Here is a 20,444-nt window from a genome sequence, read left to right on the forward strand (position 1 = left end):
TATGAAGAATCATAGTTGTGTTTGCCAAGTGACTGGAAATCAGCTTCCCCAGTACCTCTTCACCACAAACACAATTAAAGGTGGGGCCGAGGATCAAAATGGAATGCTTCCTTAGGACTGGTACAGAGTTACTCAGAAAAATTTTCTGTGACATGGTGTGATGATTCGACTTTGCCTTTTTTTTTTTGAGACGGAGTCTCGCTCTGTCGCCAGGCTGGAGTACAGTGGCATGATCTCTGCTTACTGCAATCTCTGCCTCCCAGGTTCAAGCCATTCTCCTGCCTCAGCTTCTCGAGTAGCTGGGACTACAGGCGCACGCCACCACGCCTAGCCAATTTCTGTATTTTTAGTAGAGACGGGGTTTTACCATGTTGGCCAGGATGGTCTTGATCTCTTGACCTCGTGATCTGCCTGCCTCGGCCTCACAAAGTGCTGGGATTATACGCGTGAGCCACCGTGCCTGGCTGACTTTGCCTTTTTTTTTTTTTTTTTTCTTTTTTTTGAGACAGAGTCTCGCTCTGTCGCCCAGGCTGGAGTGCAGTGGCGTGATCTCGGCTCACTGCAAAGTTCGCCTCCTGGGTTCATGCCATTCTCCTGCCTCAGCCTCTGGAGTAGCTGGAACTACAGGCGCCCGCCACCACGCCCGGCTATTTTATTTTTTATTTTTAGTAGAGACGGGGTTTCACTGTGTTAGCCAGGATGGTCTCGATCTGACCTTGTGATTCCCCCGCCTTGGCCTCCCAAAGTGCTGGGATTACAGGTGTGAGCAACCGCGCCCGGCCTGCCTTTTTTTAAAAAATAAAATTTGTATTTTTTTGGGGTACTGCTCCTTGTGGAGCAGGGCTACCTTATAGGCAGTGTGTCCAGAGTAGGCTTGACATTGTATTTAGCAAAAATTGACTGGGTTGTTTTCACTTTGGCATTTGACTTGACTGGTTCTGCTGTTCTGGAATTATTTTAGTAACATTAATGATTTCCTAGCTTATTTTCATAATTTAGAAGCTAGTTCTTTAATATTTTTGAAGTCTTGGCATCCAGGAATTATGCTGAAATTGGGTATCCCTGTTTTATAGGAGAGTGTTGATTTCTGAGGGGTATGGTTCCCTTTTTAAGAGAGAATCTCTTATATGTGCTGATACAGGTATGTTTCAGGTTTTATAGTCATCTGAAAGTAATATGTAGTTGAGAAAGAGGGTATGAGAACGTAAGACTTATACTTATTTTTAGCTTAGGATCATCAGCAGCATTTCTGGCATTTTCTTTTCATATTTTTTCTTGTTCCTTATCTTTGCAATAGCATAACGTGGTTGTAATGAGCTTGAGTTAATGTGTGTGTGGGGAGTGTGGTGGTTTGTATGTGTGGGACTGTTGAGTAGTGGTTTACTGGGAAAAATGGGTTATTAAGCAAAGAAAATGACAGTAAAGCCATTCCTTTAATTGTTAAATTATGTAACATACACATTAAAATATTTGTATAGTTTATATAGGTAAGGAAAAATAGAAATTTAAAGTTACAAAATAAGCCTACTCCCACTATCAGGAAATGGTCATCTTTTAACATTTTGGTATATAATCTTGTGCACCTTTTCTATGTGTATAAGTTCATGTGAATTTATAGATAAAGTTTTTATAAAAAATTGTATTATATAATTTTTTGACCTTTTTCCACTCAATATATTGACATCCATAAATATACATAAAAATAATGGTTATATAGTGTTTGATTTTATGACTGCGCCATGATGTATATTATCAGTTCCCTATTGTTCACTTAGATTCTTTCCAATAATGGGATCTATGCAATTATAGTTATATATACACTGCTGTAATCCTTGTATATCCTTGTAATGTATAACCTTGTATATACATCTTTGTTTGCTTCACTAAGATAACTTAGTACTTCTTGGTCAGATTGTACATAATGATTTTTAAGGCTTTTTGCTTTGTTTTTTTCTGTTTTTTTGTTTTTGTTTTTGTTTTTGTTTTTGTTTTGAGATAGAGTTTCGCTCTGTTGCCCAGGCTGGATTTCAGTGACCCCATCTCGGCTCACTGCTGCCTCTGCCACCCATTATCAAGCGATTCTCGTGCCTCAGCATCCCTAGTAGCTGGGATTACAGGTGATCGCCACCATGTCCAGCTAATTTTTGTGTTTTTAGTAGAGATGGGGTTTTGCCATGTTGGTCAGGCTGGTCTCGAACTCCTGACCTCAAGTGATCCGCTTGCCTCAGCCTCCCAAAGGGCTGGGATTACAGGCGTGAGCCACAGCACCTGGCCGGCTTTTTGCAAGTTAGTACCAAATTGCCCTCAAGGAGCGGAAGAGCCTCAAACAAAATCTACCTTGTGACTGTCGCCCAGGTTGGAGCGCAATGGTGTGATCTTGGCTCACTGCAACCTCTGCCTCTTGGGCTCAGGTCATCCTCCCACCTCAGCCTTCTGAGTAGCTGGGACTACAGGCTTGCGCCACCACACCTGGCTAAATTTTTGTATTTTTAGTGGAGACCAGTTTTCACCATGTTGCCCAGGCTGGTCTCGAACTCCTGGCCTCAAGTGATCCACCTGATTTAGCCTCCCAAAGTGCTGGGATTACAGGCATGAGCCACCATGCCCAGCCTGTGCATTCTTTTTTTTTTTTTTTTTTTTTGAGATGGAGTTTTGCTCTCGTTGCCCAGGCTGGAGTGCAATGGCGCGATCTCAGCTCACTGTATCCTCCGCCTCCCGGGTTCAAGCGATTCTCCTGCCTCAGCCTCCCGAGTAGCTGGGATTACAGGCAGGTGCCACCATGCCATGCTAATTGGTTTTTTTTGTATTTTTAGTAAAGACGGGGTTTCTCCATGTTGGTCATGTTGGTCTCGAGCTCTCGACCTCAGGTGATCCTCCCGCCTTGGCCTCCCAAAGTGTTGGGATTACAGGCGTGAGCCACCGCACCCGGCCTTTTTTTTTTTTTGAAAAGGAGTCTCATTGTGTCATCCAGCCTGGAGTGCAAAGGCAATCTTGGCTCACTTCCAGCTCTGCCTCCTGGGTTCAAGCGATTCTCCTGCCTCAGCCTCCTGAGAAGCTGGGATTACAGGTGCCTGCCACTGCGCCGGCTAATTTTTGTATTTTTAGTAGAGACGGGTTTTCACCATGTTGGCCAGGAGGCTGGTCTTGTGAACTCTTGACCTCAGGTGATCACGCCTCCCAAAGTGCTGGGATTACAAGTTTGAGCCTCTGCGCCCGGCATTCTTTTTTAAAAGATAAAAAAGTCTGGCTGCAGAGGAACCTTATACCTGAAATGTTTTGCTGTCTGAATTCACTCCAGAGTGAAATGACTTGAAGTACAAGTTTTGTGACTGCTCCGAGAATTTTTGTGTCAGAGGCTTCTCCTTCTGCCATTTTTTGAACATTTACCTAGAATTACAAAAAAATCATTCCACATTTCACAGTATGGTGCTAGGAATCTGACCAGGTCCAGTTCATAATTTTAAACTTTAGAGTTTTAAAAACATGTATGCTTATCATGCTGTAAGCAAATGGGACCCCAGGAGTAAGGGGTAACTTTCTGTTTTTCCTCATTAGGTTTCAACTTTCTGTGCTGTGGGGTCAGTGGTAAGAGAGGTAGATCTGATGTGTATCTGTGCTAAAGAAGCATGAGCTCCTTACAGTAACTAGCAGCCAATTCCTCTTCCCCATAACAGTTGCAGACTTCTAATCCCAGCACCTTGGGAGGCCGAGGCGGGCGGATCACGAGGTCAGGAGATCGAGACCATCCTGGCTAACACAGTGAAACCCCGTCTCTACTAAAAATACAAAAAAATTAGCTGGGCATGGTGGCGGGTGCCTGTAGTCCCAGCTACTCGGGAGGCTGAGACAGGAGAATGGCGTGAACCCGGGAGGCAGAGCTTGCAGTGAGCCGAGATCGTGCCACTGCACTCCAGCCTGGGCAACAGAGCAAGACTCCGTCTCAAAAAAAAAAAAAAAAAACAGTTGCAGACTTCTTGGAGTGGTAGTTCATGGTCTTCTTCTAAGAAGGCTGTGGATGCCTTAAAAGCATTATTTGACGCTGGCTCCCATATCTCACTGCCCTCTCCAAAAAATGTGTTACCCTAACATAGAAGTATCTTTTCTCAGAATTCTTCAGTATATTATGAATCAGTGACTACCTTTTCTCTCCCTTGAAATTTTCCTGTAACTTAATGTTCATTTCCTTTTGTTTCAGTAAACCAGTCTCAACTCTTTTCCTTTTCTCTTTCTGTTGTACCTCTCATTTCCCCGACCCTTCCTGTCCTGTAGATGGCATTTCATAATTCACATTGATAATAATTGCTAGAATTTATAGGCATTTATTGTAGATTAAGTAGAGCATTTATTATAGATTAAGCCTATACGTAACTTGTTGAATTCTCATAACAACCTTAGGAAGTACATGTTGTTACTTCCACATTTTATAGATAAGGTAGCCAGTCTGCTCTAGAGAAATTTTAACCAACCTACCCAAGGTTACCTACTTAGTAAATGTTTTTTTTTTTTTTTTTTTTTTTTTTTTTTGAGACGGAGTCTCGCTCTGTCGCCCAGGCTAGAGTGCAGTGCTGTGATCTCAGCTTACTGCAACCTCTGCCTCCTGGGTTCAAGCAATTCTCGTGCCTTAGCCTCCAGAGTAGCTGTGACTACAGGTGCGTGCCACTACACCCAGCTAATTTTTGTATTTTTAGTAGAGACAGGGTTTTTCCACGTTGGCCAGGCTGGTCTTGAACTCTTGGCCTCAAGTGACCCACCCACTAGGCCTCCCAAAGTGCTGGGATTACAGGCTTGAGCCATTGTGCCTAGCTGTAAATGTTAAATCTAGTATTCAAACCTAGCAAACCTAGGTGTTCTGATTTCTTTTTCTGTTTTTGGTTTTGTTTTCCCTGGGATATAGATTTTCAGGTGTTCTGATTTCAGAACCTGCATTCCTACCCACTGCTGCTGCTCCCCTCACTAATTTGAAATTCTGTGTGTGAACTAACTTTACTTAAAACCGGGTTAAATGTTTGTTACTGTCTGAACCAAGAGTCCTTGGGGTGAAGGAGAGAGTAGTACAGAAGGAAACTTCTCCTTCTGACTTTAGCCTTCCTAAATCAACAAAATTCTGAGCTCCTTTATGTACAGTAGGTGGAATTGTTCATTTTTTCAGAAGCATTTTAATTTTATTAATGTATTAATTTATTTATGTATTTTGAGACAGGGTCTTGTTCTGTCACCCAAGCTGGAGTGCAGTGGCATGATCATAGCTCACTGCAGCACTGACCTCCCAGGCCCAGGCCATCTTCCCACCTCAGCCTCACAAGTAGCTGGGACTACAGACACCACCATGTCTGGCTAATTGTTTTTTCTTTCTCTTTTTCTTTTCATTTTTTTTTTAAATTTTTTATTTTTGAGATGGAGTCTTGCTCTGTTGCCCAGGCTGGAGTGCAGTGTTACGATCTTAGCTCACTGCAACCTCCACCTCCTGGGTTCAAGCGATTCTCCTGCCTCAGACTCGCAAGTAGCTGGATTACAGGCACATGCCACCATGTCCGGCTAATTTTTGTATTTATAGAGATGAGGTTTCACCATGTTGGCCAGGCTGGTCTTGAATTCCTGGCCTCAGGTGATCCACTGCCCACCTTGGCCTCCCCCAAGTGGTGGGATTGCAGGCGTGAGCCACTGTGCCTGGCAGTGTTAAAATTGTTAATGTCTTGTTACAAAGACAAAAAGGTATTTTCTATGCTAGTGAGGACCTTAACGTCTGTAAAACTGTGAAACTGCGCTTTCAAGTATCAGACTTGAAAGTTTCTGCTCCTCTAGAATACTGGCATTGCCTAATTCAGAACAAAGGTAATCTCCCTAAAAGAAAGGTACTTTCATATTCTTTTTGCAAATGATGTTGATGAATGTTGCTAGAGGAACAGTGTTGTTAATTTCCTTGAGAGGACCTGAAGGAGGACAACTGTACTCTTAATCCTATCAGTGAAAATGAAACATTTCCTTGTCTCAAGGAAAAAGGGGGTACCTTGAGGGAAGAATATATGTCTTCATATTGTCCATTAGCAAATCTGAGATTTATTTAGTTTGTTAGAGCATTCTAGTTCCATTGGTGCTTTCTTGTTCCAGCTGCTTTCTAGGTGGCCAGGAAATTAAAAACCAAAGATGAGGCCGGGCTCAGTGGCTCACGCCTGTAATCCCAGCACTTTGGGAGGCCAAGGCAGTGGATCACAAGATCAAGAGATCGAGACCATCCTGGCCAACATGGTGAAACCCCGTCTTGACTGAAAATACAAAAATTAGCTGGGTGTGGTGGCGTGCACCTGTAGTCCCAGCTGCTTGAAGGCTGAGGCAGGAGAATCGCTTGAACCTGGGAGATGGAGGTTGCAGTGAGCTGAGATCACACTACTGCACTCCAGCCTGGCAACAGAGTGAGACTCTGTCTCAAAAAAAAAAAAAAAAAAAAAAGGCCAGAGATTATTCAGAAGAAAGTATTGAATTAGGGATCATGAATTGAATGTGGGCTCTAGTTTTGCCTGTCACTGCCTATGCTTTGATTTTGAGCCCATTCCTTAACCTCTTCTTCTGTGTTCTTATAATAAAAGGGATTAGACTAAAAATTAGACTAAAAATCTCTTTCTGAATGATTTTGTTCTAATATAAGTGGTTTATTGATTTGTAATAAGTGGTTTTAGCTTGAAAATTGGAAAGTAGGCTGGGCACAATGGCTCACGCCTATAATCCCAGCACTTTGGAAGGATGAGGTGGGCAGATCACTTGAGGTCAGGAGTTCCAGACCAGGCTGGCCAACATGGCGAAACCCTGTCTGTACTAAAAATACAAAAATTAGCCAGGTGTGGTGGTGCACACCCGTAATCCTGGCTACTCGGGAGGCTGAGACAGGAGAATCAGTTGAGCCCAGGAGGCAGAGGTTGCAGTGAGCCGACATCGTGCCACTGCACTCCAGCCTGGGCAACAGAGCAAGACTCTCGTCTCAAAAAAAAAAAAAAAAAAGAAGAGGGCTGGCCCGGTGGCTCATGCCTATAATCCCAGCACTTTGGGAGGCTGAGGCGGGCGGGTCATCTGCAGTCAGGAGTTCGAGACCAGCCTGACCAACATGGTGAAACCCCATCTCTACAAAAAATTTAAAAAAAAAAAATTAGCTGGGTGTTGTGGTGCGTGCCTGTAATCCCAGCTACTCGGGAGGCTGAGGCAGGAGAATCTCTTGAACCCGGGAGGTGGAGGTTGCGGTGATCCGAGATTGTACCATTGCCCTCCAGTCTGGGCGACAAGAGTGAAACTCCATCTAAAAAAAAAGAAACAAAACTGGAAAGTAGGCCTTGTGCGGTGGCTCATGCTTCTAATCCCCGTACTTTGGGAGGCTGAGGTGGAAGGATCGCTTGAGCCCAGGCATTCAAGACCAGCTTGGGGAACATGGCTAAACCCTGTCCTTACATATTCTTTCCTTTTTTTTTTTTTTTTTTTTGCCGAGATGGGGTCTCCCTATGTTGCTCGAGCTGGTCTCGAACTCCTGGGCTCAATTAATCTTCCCATCTTGGCCTCCCAAAGTACTGGGATTATAGATGTGAGCCACTGTGCTCAATGCCTGTCTCTGTTTCTATTTATTTATTTATTTTTGAGACAGAGTGTTGCTCTGTTGCCCAGGCTGGAGTGCAGTGGCGCGATCTCAGCTCACTGCAATCTCTGTCTCCCAGGTTCAAGAGATTCTCCTGCCTCAGTCTCCCGAGTAGCTGGGATTACAGGTGGTGTCATCATGCTTGGCTACTTTTTTGTATTTTTAGTAGAGACGGGGTTTCACCTTGCTAGCCAGGATGATCTCGATCTCCTGACCCTGTGATATGCCCACCTTGGCCTCCCCAAGTGCTGGGATTACAGGCATGAGCCACCGCACCCGGCTTGCCTGTCTCTATTTTAAAAAAGCCAACTCAGATCAAGAATTTTGATTATCCAGACTTGCTTTATTTTCTTCTGTGGTATTTTTTTCCTTTACTTACATTATAAAATTCCTCAGATGCATGTGAAGTAGAGAGAATAGTATAATGAACCTCCATATACTTACCACCTAGCTTTTTTTTTTTTAAGACAGGATTTCACTCTTTCGCCCAGGCAGGAGTGCGATGGTGCGATCTCAGCTTACTGCAACCTCTGCTCCCCGGGTTCAACCGATTCTCCTGCCTCAGCCTCCAAGTATTTGGGATTACAGGCGCCCACCACCTTGCCCAGCTAATTTTTGTGTTTTTAGTAGAGATGGGGTTTCGCCATGTTGGCAAGGCTGGTCTCGAACTCCTGACCTCACGTGATCCACCTGCCTTGGCCTTCCAAAGTGCTGGGATTACAGGCGTGAGCCACTTTACCTGGCCTATCACCTAGCTTTGATAACAGCATTTTGCCAATCTTGCATCTATACTTCTCCATTTTTCTACCTCTACCTCCCTGGAATATTTTAAAGCAAGCCCAGTCCTCATGGGATTTCACTCCTAAATACTTAAGAACGTATTAATACACTCAGGGAATCTTTTAGAGGTGAGGATGGGAGAGTATAATATAACTACAGTGGTATTGTCACATCTATAAAATTAATAATTGTTTAACTTTGCTTCTCAAGGCTCTTTTCTCAGAAATGTCTTTTTATGGTTTCTTTTTTTCTAATCAACACCCAAACAGGTTTCACATATTCCATTTGGTTATTTCTCTCTTAAATCCTTAATTAAAATAGTTTCCAAACCCTGTAGTATTTTTTGAGGGCCAAATGAGATATATTTGTAGGCTTCCAAAGTGTTTATACAAACATAAGTTGTTTGGTCATAGGAGAGAAATAACCTTTCTAAAAATATATCAGCATTGCAGTTTAGTGTTAATAACATTAAAGAGAAATGAGAGAATGTAGAGATGCCTGAGTGATGGAGAAAAAAGCAGGAATAATTTGGCATTAAACTAAGGCTGAGATGTATTAAAATTGAGCCAGTGTGGAGAAGCTGGCCTAGGACCTTCTCTGTAGCATTTATAGCCAAGCAATTAACCTATATACCCACCCTTGGGTAATAGGTTCTCCTCTCTTATAGTACGTGCCACACTTCCAAGTGTAGACTGATGATAATGAAGACATTGGAATAATGCCCTTTGAGAGTTTTGCCTTAGATTGGGAAATGCAGGTCTCAAGATTCTCAGACAAAATATTTTCTTCTAGGGAAGAGTACATTTTAATGTTGTTTCCCTGCCCAAAAAGATAATGATATATATAAATCATGGGTATGGATTACAAAACGATAATGTATTCCTACAGTATTTTTCACAAAGACACTAGAAAACATTTTCTGTTGAACAGTATTCTGGTTTTATCCATAGGGATGAATCTCATTCTCTTTAAAAATTGTCTGGCTAACAGCCAGGTGCAGTGGTGCAGTCTGATAGTCCCAGTGACTCAGGAGGCTGAGGTGGGAGGATCACTTGAATCCAGGAGTTTGAGACCAGCCTGGGCAACATAGTGAGACCTCATATCTACAAAAAAGAATAATAGCAAAAAAAGCAAAATCAGCTGGGCATGGTGGTACACACCTGTAGTCCCAACTACTCAGGTGGCTGAGGTGGGAGCATCATTTGAGCCTGGGAGGAAGGGGCTGCAGTGAGCAGAGATTGCACCACTGCACTCCAGCCAGGGTGACATTGTGAGACCATGTCTCAAAGGGAAAAAAAATTACATATATTTTTTCCTTTTTTTGATATAGATACGATATTTTTCTCTTCTGTTCATTGGTAGGTTGGATCTCTGATGTGTGCCATAGGGGCAAAACTTTAGGCAAGGAAGAGAGAAGGTTTTGTGTCCTGATTCTGCTCCTCTCTTTGTCACTTGGTCTGAGTGTTATTACTTAGACCCTAATAGCATCATCACCCTGCGTGCTCTTGGAATTAGTCCCAGTTTTGCAGTCACAGATAGCTAAGCAGTTGGCACCAAAATTCCATGGAGCGACATCGTCTCATCTTTATTCTAGGTATTTTGCAAGAGTGTAGCAGCCCTAGAGCTACATGTTTGTGTGATAAAACTAGGAAAGGTAGCAAGGTAGAACTTTTTAGGGAGTAGAAAGTTTCAGAGCCACTCTGCATTGAAATTACTTACCTGCTTTTTTTCTCTTGTTTAACTTTATTCAGTGACTTTTTGCATACAGAGGAGCTTACTTTCTAGGTGGTAACTACCAGACTAGAAGCAGATGCTGGCTTTTGGTTCTGCCTGGTCTCTTCTAAACCGTTTCCTCTGGGTAAAAGAGGAGAGGATAGGCCAGGCACTGACCAAAGAGTCTAGAATCAGCATTTTTATTTTCAACTGAAAGCATACAGAGTACCTCATTGAGAATCAGATTCCATAGTTGCTAGTGTTGCACAAGCATGTGGGTATGTTGGGGGATGGGGCAGCTGAGGGTTTTGACAGGAACCGTGTTCTTTGAGATGGTAATTTGAATTTCATGAAGGTCTAGGTAAATTGAAAATTAAACCTTGCTGTGAGCCTAACTTTGCTCTTGCGTCACACGTAATGGCCAGGCATGGTGGCTCATGCCTGTAATCCCATCACTTTGGGAGGCCAAGGCAGGTGGATCACGAGGTCAGGAGTTAAGACCAGCCCAGCCAAGATGGTGAAACCCTCTCTCTTCTAAAAAAAATACAAAAATTAGCCAGGCGCAGTGGCTCACCCCTGTGATCCCAGCACTTTGGGAGGCCGCGGTGGGTGGATCACCTGAGGTCAGGAATTCAAGACCACCCTGGCCGACATGATGAAACCCCATCTCTGCTAAAAATACAAAAATCAGCCAGGCATGGTGGCGGGCACCTGTAATCCCAGCTACTCGGGAGGTTGAGGCAGGAGAATCTCTTGAACTGGGAGAAGGACGTTGCAGGGAGCCAAGATGGCGCTGTTGCACTCCAGCCTCGGTGACCAGCAAAACTCCGTCTCAAAAAAAAAAAAAAAGGCCGGGTGTGGTGGCTCACGCCTGTAATCCCAGCACTTTGGGAGGCCGAGGCAGGCGGATCATGAGGTCAGGAGATTGAGACCATCCTGGCTAACACGGTGAAACCCTGTCTCTACTAAAAATACAAAAAATTAGCCAGGCGTGATGGCACACACCTGTAATCCCAGCTACTCGGGAGGCTGAGGCAGGAGAATTGCTTGAACCCAGGAGGTGGAGGTTGCAGTGAGCCGAGATCGTGCCATTGCACTCCAACCTGGGCAACAGAGCGAGACTCTGTCTCAAAAAAAAAAAAAAAGCGACAGAGCGAGACTCCATCTAAAAAATAAAAATTAAAAAAAAAGGGACAGGTGCGGTGGCTCTTGCTTGTAATCCTAGCACTTTGGGAGGCTTGAGGTGGATGGATCATTTGAGGTCAGGAGTTCAAGACCAGCCCAGCCATCATGGTGAAATCCCGCCTCCACTAAAAACACAAAAATTAGCTGAATGTGGTAGGAGGCGCCTGTAATCCCTGCTACTCAGGAGGCTGAGCAGGAGAATCACTTGCAGTGAGCTGAGGTCATGCCACTGCACTCCAGCCTGGGCGATAGAGTGAGACTCCATCTCAAAAAAAAAGAAAAAGTTATATTTCCCAGAGAAAATATGGATATTTGAATAAGAAAGGGGTCTAGAATAAAAATGGAATATGCACGAGGCCTATGTGAGTATGGAGAAGGAGAGAGGGACATACACAGTTGCTATCCAAAAGGATCTGGTATTACTGAGCAAGAGGCAGGAGTTTATACTTATGTTTAGTTTGACTCAAACTCTGATGGTTTCAGTATGCTTGACAGAGATGTGAGTGTGTGATACACTCTTATGATTGTTTTTTTTTCCCCCCTAGCAGCATCTGGAATCAAGAGACCCATGGCATCTGAGGTGAGTTTCATACTGATACAATGGTTACTAAAACCTTAATTCTGGGATAGAAGGAACCTGTTTATGACATTTTTATTTTTTCTCTACTTAGGTCTTGGAAGCTAGACAGGATTCTTACATCTCATTGGTAGGCTAGAAATTATGCAACTCATCTTTTATTGTAGTTTATTTTAAATATTAACAATATCTCACATTTATTGAGCATTTTTAATGTACCAAATGCAATATATACCAAAAAGTAAATACTGTACCTAAGTGCCCTTTAAGATATTCTTATTTAATCCTTCAAACAACTACAGTGAGGCAAATACTGTTATCTGTTTTACAGATGAAGAAAGTGAGGATTGCATAGTTACTAAGTGGGATTAGTAAAGCTGGGATTCAAATTCAAACCCAGGCAGTCTGACACTAAAGCTCACTTTCTTTGTTTTGCTGTTATGGCCTCCTGATTGCATACCTTCGATGAATATGAAGAACTTTTAGCCATGCAGAAGCTGTTAGTTTCACAAGTTTCTCTTTTTTGTCCAGAATATCGCCATTTTGCTCAACTTTCTTCCCATGGTGTATTTCCTAACCCTCTTCTCACTTCTTGCCTCTCCCCTGGGTTTTGTGAAAGGGGCCTCAGAATGCAGGCCCTTTTGACCTGGGACTTCAAACTTTCTCTCAGAACATCTTCCAGCATCTGTCAGGTGATATACTGAGAGTTTTCTGGTACTAAGGGCCTTGGCTAAAAGAATAGAACTTGAATATCAGGTCTTAAGATTGGGACATCCAGCCAGTCACGGTTGCTCATGCTTGTAATCCTAACACTTTGGGAGGCCAAGGTGAGAGGATTGCTTGAGGCCAGGAGATCGAGACAGGCCTGTGCAACATAGTGAGACCCTGGTTCTACAAAAAAATAAAACATTAGCCAGGTGCACACCATAGTCCCAGCTACTCGGGATTGCTTGAGCCCAGGAGGTTGAGGCTGCAGTGAGCCATTATCACACCACTGCCCTCTAGCCTGGGTGACAGAGACACCCTGTCTCAAAAAAAAACTGTGATACCCTGTTTCCACTAGTCTCTCAGCCTTCTGGCTTATAAACTTAATGAGTATTGATGTTATGAAGAGTAACTTCATGTCTGTTGCTCTGGCATTTTGGCTCTTGGGGATAACTTTCTAGACTGCTATACTGGTTTACTCCTCCCTTCTTGCCTTTTTTTTTTTTGAGATGAAGTCTTGCTCTGTTGCCCAGTATGGAGTACAGTGGCTCGATCTTGGCTCACTATGTCCTCTGCCTCCCAGGTTCAGGCAGTTCTCCTGCCTCAGCCTCCCAAGCAGCTGGGATTACAGGTGCACGCCACCATGCCCGCCTAATTTTTGTATTTTTAGTAGAGGCAGGGTTTCACCCTGTTGACCAGACTGGTTTTGAACTCCTGACCTCAGGTGATCCACCCGCCTTGGCCTCCCAATGTGCTGGGATTACAGGTGTGAGCCACTGCGCCTGGCCTCTTTTCTTTTTTCTTTTTTTTTTTGAGACAGAGTCACGCTCTGTCGCCCAGGCTGGAGTGCAGTGGCATGATCTTGGCTCACTGCAACCTCTGCCTCCTGGATTCAAGTGATTCTCCCGCCTCAGCCTCCTGAGTAGCTGGGATTAGAGATGCACGCCACCACGCCAGGCAAATTTTTTGTATTTTTAGTTGGAGATGGAGATTTGCCATGTTGCCCAGTCTGGTCTCAAACTCCTAGGCTCAAGTGATCTTCCCCACTTGGCCTTCTGAGTAGCTGAGATTACAGGTGCATGCCACACCACCCAGCTATGTTTCTTTTCTTTTTTTTTTTTTTTGAGACAGAGTCTTGCTCTGTCACCCAGGCTGGAGTGCAGTGGTGCGATCTCGGCTCACTGCAACCTCCACCTCCCAGTTTCAAGCAATTCTCTGCCTCAGCCTCCCGAGTAGCTGGGATTACAGGTGCCTACTACCACGCCTGGGTAATTTTTGTGTTTTTAGTAGAGACAGGGTTTCAACATCTTGGCCAGGCTGGTCTTGAACTCCTGACCTCGTGATCCACTTGCCTCCACCTCCCAAAGTGCTAGTATTACAGGTGTGAGCCACCGCACCCGGCCATCGCCGAGCTGTGTTTCTACTACTGTTTAAAAATACTCACCTTTGGTTGGGTGCAGTGCCTCACACCTATAATCCCAGCACTTTGGGAGGCCAAGGCGAGTGGATCACCTGAGGTCAGGAGTTCGAGACTAGCCTGGTCAACATGTTGAAACCCCATCTCTACTAATAATACAAAAAATTAGCTGGGTGTGGTGGTGCATTCCTGTAATCTCAGCTACTCGGGAGGCTGAGGCTGGAGAATCGCTTGAACCCGGGAGGTGGAGGTTGCAGTGAGCCGAGATCGTGGCATTGCACTCCAGCCCAGGCGACACAAGCGAAACTCTGTCTCAAAAAAAAAAAAAAAAGTACTCTTATTTTCTGGCCGGGCATGGTGGCTCACACCTGTAATCCCAGCACTTTGGGAGGCTGAGGCAGGTGGATCACTTGAGGTCAGCAATTTGAGATCAGCCTGGCCAACATGGTGAAACCTCATCTCTACTAAAAATACAAAAATTAGTCAGGTGTGGTGGTGTGCACCTATAATCCCAGCTGCTCGGGAGGCTGAGGCGAGAGAATTGCTTGAACCGAGGAGGTGGAGGTTGCAGTGAGCTGAGATTGTGCCACCGCACTCCAGCCTGGGCAACAAGAGCGAGACTCTGTTTCAAAAAAATAAAGAGTAAAAATACTCACTTTTATTTTCTGTGTCTTCTTTCTGAGGACCAAAGGGAAAATATGTGTCCCTTGGAGTTTTCTTCTGTGATCTTTTAGCCACTTAATTCATTGGGAACCAACATTATAGCTGTATATTTGCATGGGATAGATCTGAAGATTTTGTAAAATGTTTTTAATCTAGAAAGAATATGTTGTTTCAGTTTATTTTGTTTTGATGTACCATTGTGGTAGCTATTTGGTGTCTTACATGGGAATTGTATTATAATCTTGACTCTTCTTCTAGGTGCCTTATGCCTCTGGCATGCCCATCAAGAAAATAGGCCATAGAAGTGTTGATTCCTCAGGAGAGACAACATATAAAAAGGTGTGTCTGGATGAAACCGTCTCATCTTACTCCAGGAGCTCAGCAGCTTACTCTGGGAACTCAGTCTCCTTGAAATTACTCTCCATGTACTGTCCTGTTTCTTGATCTCCTAAGCTTTTGCACATAATACAGCTTAGACTTTAGATTTATTTCTCAAAGGGTAAATTGTCTCCTTTTTGTATATGAATGTTTAAATGAGATTTTTTTTGGCTGGGCACAGTGCCCCAGGCCTGTAATCCCAGCACTTTGGGAAGCCGAGGCAGGCAGATCATTTTAGGCCAGGAGTTCAAGACCAACCTGGCCAACATGATGAAACTCTGTCTCTACTAAAAATACAAAAATTAGCTGGGTGGCACACGCTTGTGGTCCCAGCTACTCGGGATGTTGAGGCACGAGAATCGCTTGAACCTGAGAGGTGGAGGTTGCAGTGAGGTCAAATTGTGCCACTTGGTGGCACTAGCCTTGGTGACAGAACAAGACTCCATCTCAAAAGAAAAAAAAATTAGTGAACAAATCTGGCATTGGTTGCTATTTTACTGAGCTGAAGAAACTGGGTTTCCCTGTTAGGTATAAATATGTAACAAGGCCATGAAAGCCATTCTTATCTTACCACAGGGAACCATGTCTCTCGCAGTCTTTCTGTCTTTTTGTCCATTGCTGGGTATATATCAATAGAGGGCCAGGTCCCAGCCCAGCCTGTTGATACAAATATACACAATAGGTCAGACTTTTTTTTCTCTTCCATTTTTTTTTTAGAGCCAGGGTGTCAATCTGTCACCCAGGCTGGATTGCAGTGGCATGATCATTGGCCGGTAGCAGGAGGCTATTGTAACCTCCGACTCCTGGGCTCAAGTGATCTTCCTGCCTCAACCTCCTGAGTAGCTGGGACTACAGGTGCACACCACCACACATGGATAATAATAAATTAGTTTTATGACATGATCTCGCTGTGTCGCACAGGCTGGTCTCAAACTCCTGCCCTCAAGCATTCCTCCTACCTAAACCTTCCAAAGTGCTGGAGTTACAGGGGTGATTGACCGTGTCTCACCCCCTTTTCCTCCACAAAGACAGTCATTTAGCTGGCGAATAGTACCTAGGACATCTGCTTTTTTGAGCTCTGAATATCAAATGGACTGGAAAGGAGCAGTAATAGTGAAAAAGTGGAAATTGGGCTGGTGAAGGGAAAACAGAAGCATCCTGGATCCTTGAGGGATCCAAATTCTTGAGTTCTGGACTGGTTTTCAGATGGTTTAGGCTTCCTGAGGGACAGTGTTCAGTCTCCCATTTAGCATCTGTGGTTTGTCTAATATGGGATGTGAAGATTTCTTGGAGTTCTAGGTTTCTGGCCTATGTAAATTTTGTGTTCATTCTCTATTTCATTGTCCCAAGTAGCAGAGGTGGACTGACTCATTCTCAGTCAAGGACCTGACAGTCCCCAGAATGGACTCTGTGGCTCATGTCAATTACTTTTACTGAGCTCTTCATTTTTAAATTTTTTTTTTTTAAGAAATGGGATCTTGCATTTGGGAAGCTGAGGCGGGTGGATCACCTGAGGTCAGGAGTCGGAGACCAACCTGACCAACATGGCAAAGCCCCATCTCTACTAAAAATACAAAAATTAGCTGGGCGCGGTGGTGGGCATCTGTAATCCCAGCTACTCAGGAGGCTGAGACATGAGAATAGCTTGAACCTGGGAGGCGAAGGTTGCAGTGAGCCGAGGTCGCGCCATTGCACTCCAGCCTGGGCAACAGAGCGAGACCCCGTCTCAAAAAAAAAAAAAAAAAAAAAAAAAACAGGAAAGAAAGAAATAGGATCTTGCTCTGTTGCCCAGACTGGAATGCAGTGGGTGCGTTGATGGCACACTGCAGCCTTGAACTCCTGGGCTCAAGCCATCCTCCTACCTCAGCCTCCAAAGTAACTGGGACTACAGGCCTCAGCCACCACACCTGGCTTATTTAGCTTTTTTTTTTTTTTTTTCCTGAGGGAGTTTTACTCTTGTTGCCCAGGCTGGAGTGCAATGGCGTGATCTCCACTCACCAAAACCTCTGCCTTGCGGGTTCAAGCGATTCTCCTGCCTCAGTCTCCCAAGTAGCTGGGATTACAGGCATGCACCACCATGCCTGGATAATTTTGTATTTTTAGTAGAGATAGGGTTTCTCCATGTTGGTCAGGCTGGTCTTGAACTCCTGACCTCAGGTAATCTGCCTGTCTCGGCCTCCCAAAGTGCTGGGATTACAGGCATGAGCCACAGCACCCGGCCATTTAGCTCTTTTTATATGTTGAACATTAAGATAAAAAGATGAGTTTCTATTATAACTGGGGAGGCAGGTACTTAAAAAAAAAAAGAAACTAATAATTTATTTTCCTTTGACCTATTTGTACATGAAAAAAACTAGTTGTAGGCTGGGCATGGTGGCTCATGCCTGTAATCCCAGCACTTTGGGAGGCCGAGGCAGGTGGATAACGAGGTCAGGAGATCGAGATCATCCTGGCTAACACGGTGAAACCCCATCTCTACTAAAAAAAAAATACAAAAAATTAGTCGGGTGTGGTGGCTTGCGCCTGTAGTCCCAGCTACTCAGGAGGCTGAGGCAGGAGAATGGTGTCAACCAGGGAGGCGGAGCTTGCAGTGAGCCAAGATCACGCCACTGCACTCCAGCCTGGGCGACAGAGCGAGACTCCGTCTCAAGAAAAAAAAAACAAAAAACTAGTTGTAATTTATTGCCCATTGAGGACCAAGTAGAAATATAAGTAATGCCTGGCCGAGGTTGGGGATGAGGCAAATGGAGCAAAGCTATCTAATCAAAGTTTCTGCAGTGATTGAAATGTGCTGTATCTGTGCTATCCAATATGGTAGCTAGTAGCCACACTTGAACTGTAAGTAGTAAGACTGAGAAAATGAAGTTTTAAATTTGAGTTAACTTAAATTTAAATAGCCATGTGTACCTAGTGGCTACTGTTATCAGACAGCAAAGATCTAGATGATGCGATACTTTCCCACGGGCTTGGAATCCTGGATTGTAAGAGTGGGGCTCTTGTATTTGTGTTTTGACCAAGTTTGATAATTCTAAGTCTGAATACTGCTCTCAGAAATAATTTGAGTCTTTCATGCTTTCTTCTTCAGTTAGGAGCTCTTTTACCACACTGTTGCCCTTTTTTTTGAGACAGTCTGGCTGTGTTACCCAGGCTGGAATGCAGTGGTGTGATCTTGGCTCACTGCAGCCTCCGCCTCCCAGCTTCAAGCAATTCTCCTGTCTCAGCCTTCTGAGTAGCTGGGACTACAGGTGCACACCACCTCATCCAGCTAATTTTTGTGTTTTTAGTAGAGACGGTTTCACCACATTGGCCAGGCTGGTCTCGAACTCTTGGCCTAAAGTGGTCTGCCCACCTCAGTCTCCCAAAGTGCTTGGATTAGAGGCGTGAGCCTCCGCCCGCGCCCACCCCACCCTGTTGGCCTTGAGACACACTAGTCAGGCCCTTCCTTAGAGGACTGAAGTTTCTGCCGCCAGGCAGTCAGATCAGAATATTGGTTAATTTTAGGGCTGGGCATGGTGGCTCATGCCCGTAATCCCAGAGCTTTGGGAGTTCTGAGGTTAGGAGCTTGAGACCAGCCTGACCAACATAGTGAAACCCCATCTGTACTAAAAATATAAAGAATAAGCAAGGTGTCGTGGTGCATGCCTGTAATCTCAGCTACTCGGGAGGCTGAGGCATGAGAATCGCTTGAACCGGGGAGGCAAAGTTTGCAGTGAGCCGAGATCATGCTGCTGTACTCCATTCCAGCCTGGGTGACAGAGTGAGACTTAGTCTCAAAAAAAAAAAAAAAAAAAAGGAATATTGGTTAATTTTAGTTACATTCGATATCAGATGAAGGAAATGTTTAGAGGGCTCCAGATACACTCTGGGGGCAGAAACCTTAGGAGTGAGAACTAAGAACGTTGTGTCAATACAATGTATCTTCCAAATACAAATATGGAACTCTTGTTTAGGCAGGCCAACAGGAGGGAGCACCTTGCCTAGCTGAGGCTGGCTCAGAGAGTCCCAGCTTTGCTACTCTGTATCCTCACTGTCCTTCCAATCTTTACTAAGCTTAATTGCAGAGTACAGCATAGGGATGGGGAAACTGGATTGTCCCAGTTTTATCTGAACTATTGCTCAGACTAAAGGATGTTTGTTTTAAAGTGTTCCTTCTAGCTTCCCCTTTCTGAATTTTTATTGTTATGATCCTACTTATACTAGGAATTTTCTTCTCATTTCTCTTGTTTCTCAGACAACCTCATCAGCCTTGAAAGGTGCCATCCAGTTAGGCATTACCCACACTGTGGGGAGCCTGAGTACCAAACCAGAGCGTGATGTCCTCATGCAAGATTTCTACGTGGTTGAGAGTATCTTCTTTCCCAGGTACAGAGTTTAATGTTCAGGAGCATGTCCTGGAAATGTGGCCTTTTCAAATCAGCCCAGGGCAGTTTTAGGGGTTCAGGTCGGACAATTTAGACATGTGTCCATTTCTTAACCTGGTTACAATCAGGGCGATGTGGGACTAGAGAGTTCGGAGAGCAGATACTGTCCTCTAGATGCTTCCATTAGCCTCTGTCCTATGGATTGACCCGTAAAAAACAACCTAATGCATTGGATAGGAGGCAGTGTGATTTCTTCTTCTTCTTATGTCTTGCTGTCCATGCTGTGCCATTGTCTCACTAACTCATCTAAGAAGGGCTGTGATTATCTTAGGAGGAATGTATTCCCCCACTCCCCCCACCATGAGGTGACTCTGAGTGTCTTCGCAAGGTAGATTCTCTGGATGATAGGGACTGGCAAGTTATGGCTACCTCTGTTTAACCCCACAGTGAAGGGAGCAACCTGACCCCTGCTCATCACTACAATGACTTTCGTTTCAAGACCTATGCACCTGTTGCCTTCCGCTACTTCCGGGAGCTATTTGGTATCCGGCCCGATGATTACTTGGTAAGCATCTGGATATCAGGACACTGTGACTCCAGTATCAGAGGGATATTCCCAAAGGAAGGCCCCTTTTCTCCACAGTCTCGCTCTGGTTTTTATTTAGAAAAGAATTGCATCTGTAGTTGATTTTTGTGTTGGGCAAGGCCCTGATGTGTCTAAATCTCTTAGTTCTTCTCTGTTTGCCCCAGTATTCCCTCTGCAGTGAGCCGCTGATTGAACTCTGTAGCTCTGGAGCTAGTGGTTCCCTATTCTATGTGTCCAGCGACGATGAGTTCATTATTAAGACAGTCCAACATAAAGAGGCGGAATTTCTGCAGAAGCTGCTTCCAGGATACTACATGGTAAGGGAGAGAGAAGCACTGTCCACCTGTGCTGCTCACTTCTGGGCAAGGCTGGGGAGGCTGTCTTCAGCAGGGTAAAACAGTGTCAGCACTTCTATCTTAAGAGTGTAGTTCAGGCCAGGCACGGTGGCTCATGCCTGTAATCCC

General features: G+C 44.5%; 1 protein-coding gene across 51 annotated transcripts in view, besides 1 other annotated feature; it reads left to right on the forward strand.

Annotated features, from left to right (window-relative positions):
- The window catches only part of PIP5K1A (phosphatidylinositol-4-phosphate 5-kinase type 1 alpha), a 54,113-nt gene that overhangs the window by 16,988 nt on the left and 16,681 nt on the right, over positions 1 to 20,444 (forward strand). For 12 of the 51 annotated variants that reach the window (XM_024450130.2, XM_047431670.1, XM_011510046.4 and 9 more), the window contains 5 exons: positions 11,842 to 11,873; positions 14,914 to 14,994; positions 19,265 to 19,395; positions 19,842 to 19,959; positions 20,145 to 20,297. In XM_024450130.2, coding sequence (XP_024305898.1) covers positions 11,842 to 11,873; positions 14,914 to 14,994; positions 19,265 to 19,395; positions 19,842 to 19,959; positions 20,145 to 20,297 — 515 coding nt within the window. Of the gene's footprint in view, positions 1 to 1,073; positions 1,142 to 3,555; positions 3,595 to 11,838; positions 11,874 to 11,964; positions 12,001 to 14,913; positions 14,995 to 19,264; positions 19,396 to 19,841; positions 19,960 to 20,144; positions 20,298 to 20,444 lie in introns of all 51 variants that reach the window. The other 39 variants (XM_011510043.4, XM_047431658.1, XM_047431657.1 and 36 more) reach the window with 13 other exon arrangements.
- Positions 4,314 to 4,514: a silencer, noted in NCBI's record as "peak410 fragment used in MPRA reporter construct". NCBI's record gives its function as "represses an SCP1 promoter by STARR-seq MPRAs in K562 erythroleukemia cells {active_cell/tissue: K562}" and the evidence as "EXISTENCE:reporter gene assay evidence [ECO:0000049][PMID:32103011]".

This window comes from Homo sapiens, chromosome 1 (genome assembly GCF_000001405.40).
Source record: "Homo sapiens chromosome 1, GRCh38.p14 Primary Assembly".
In the NCBI taxonomy this organism is placed as follows: Eukaryota; Metazoa; Chordata; class Mammalia; order Primates; family Hominidae; genus Homo; species Homo sapiens.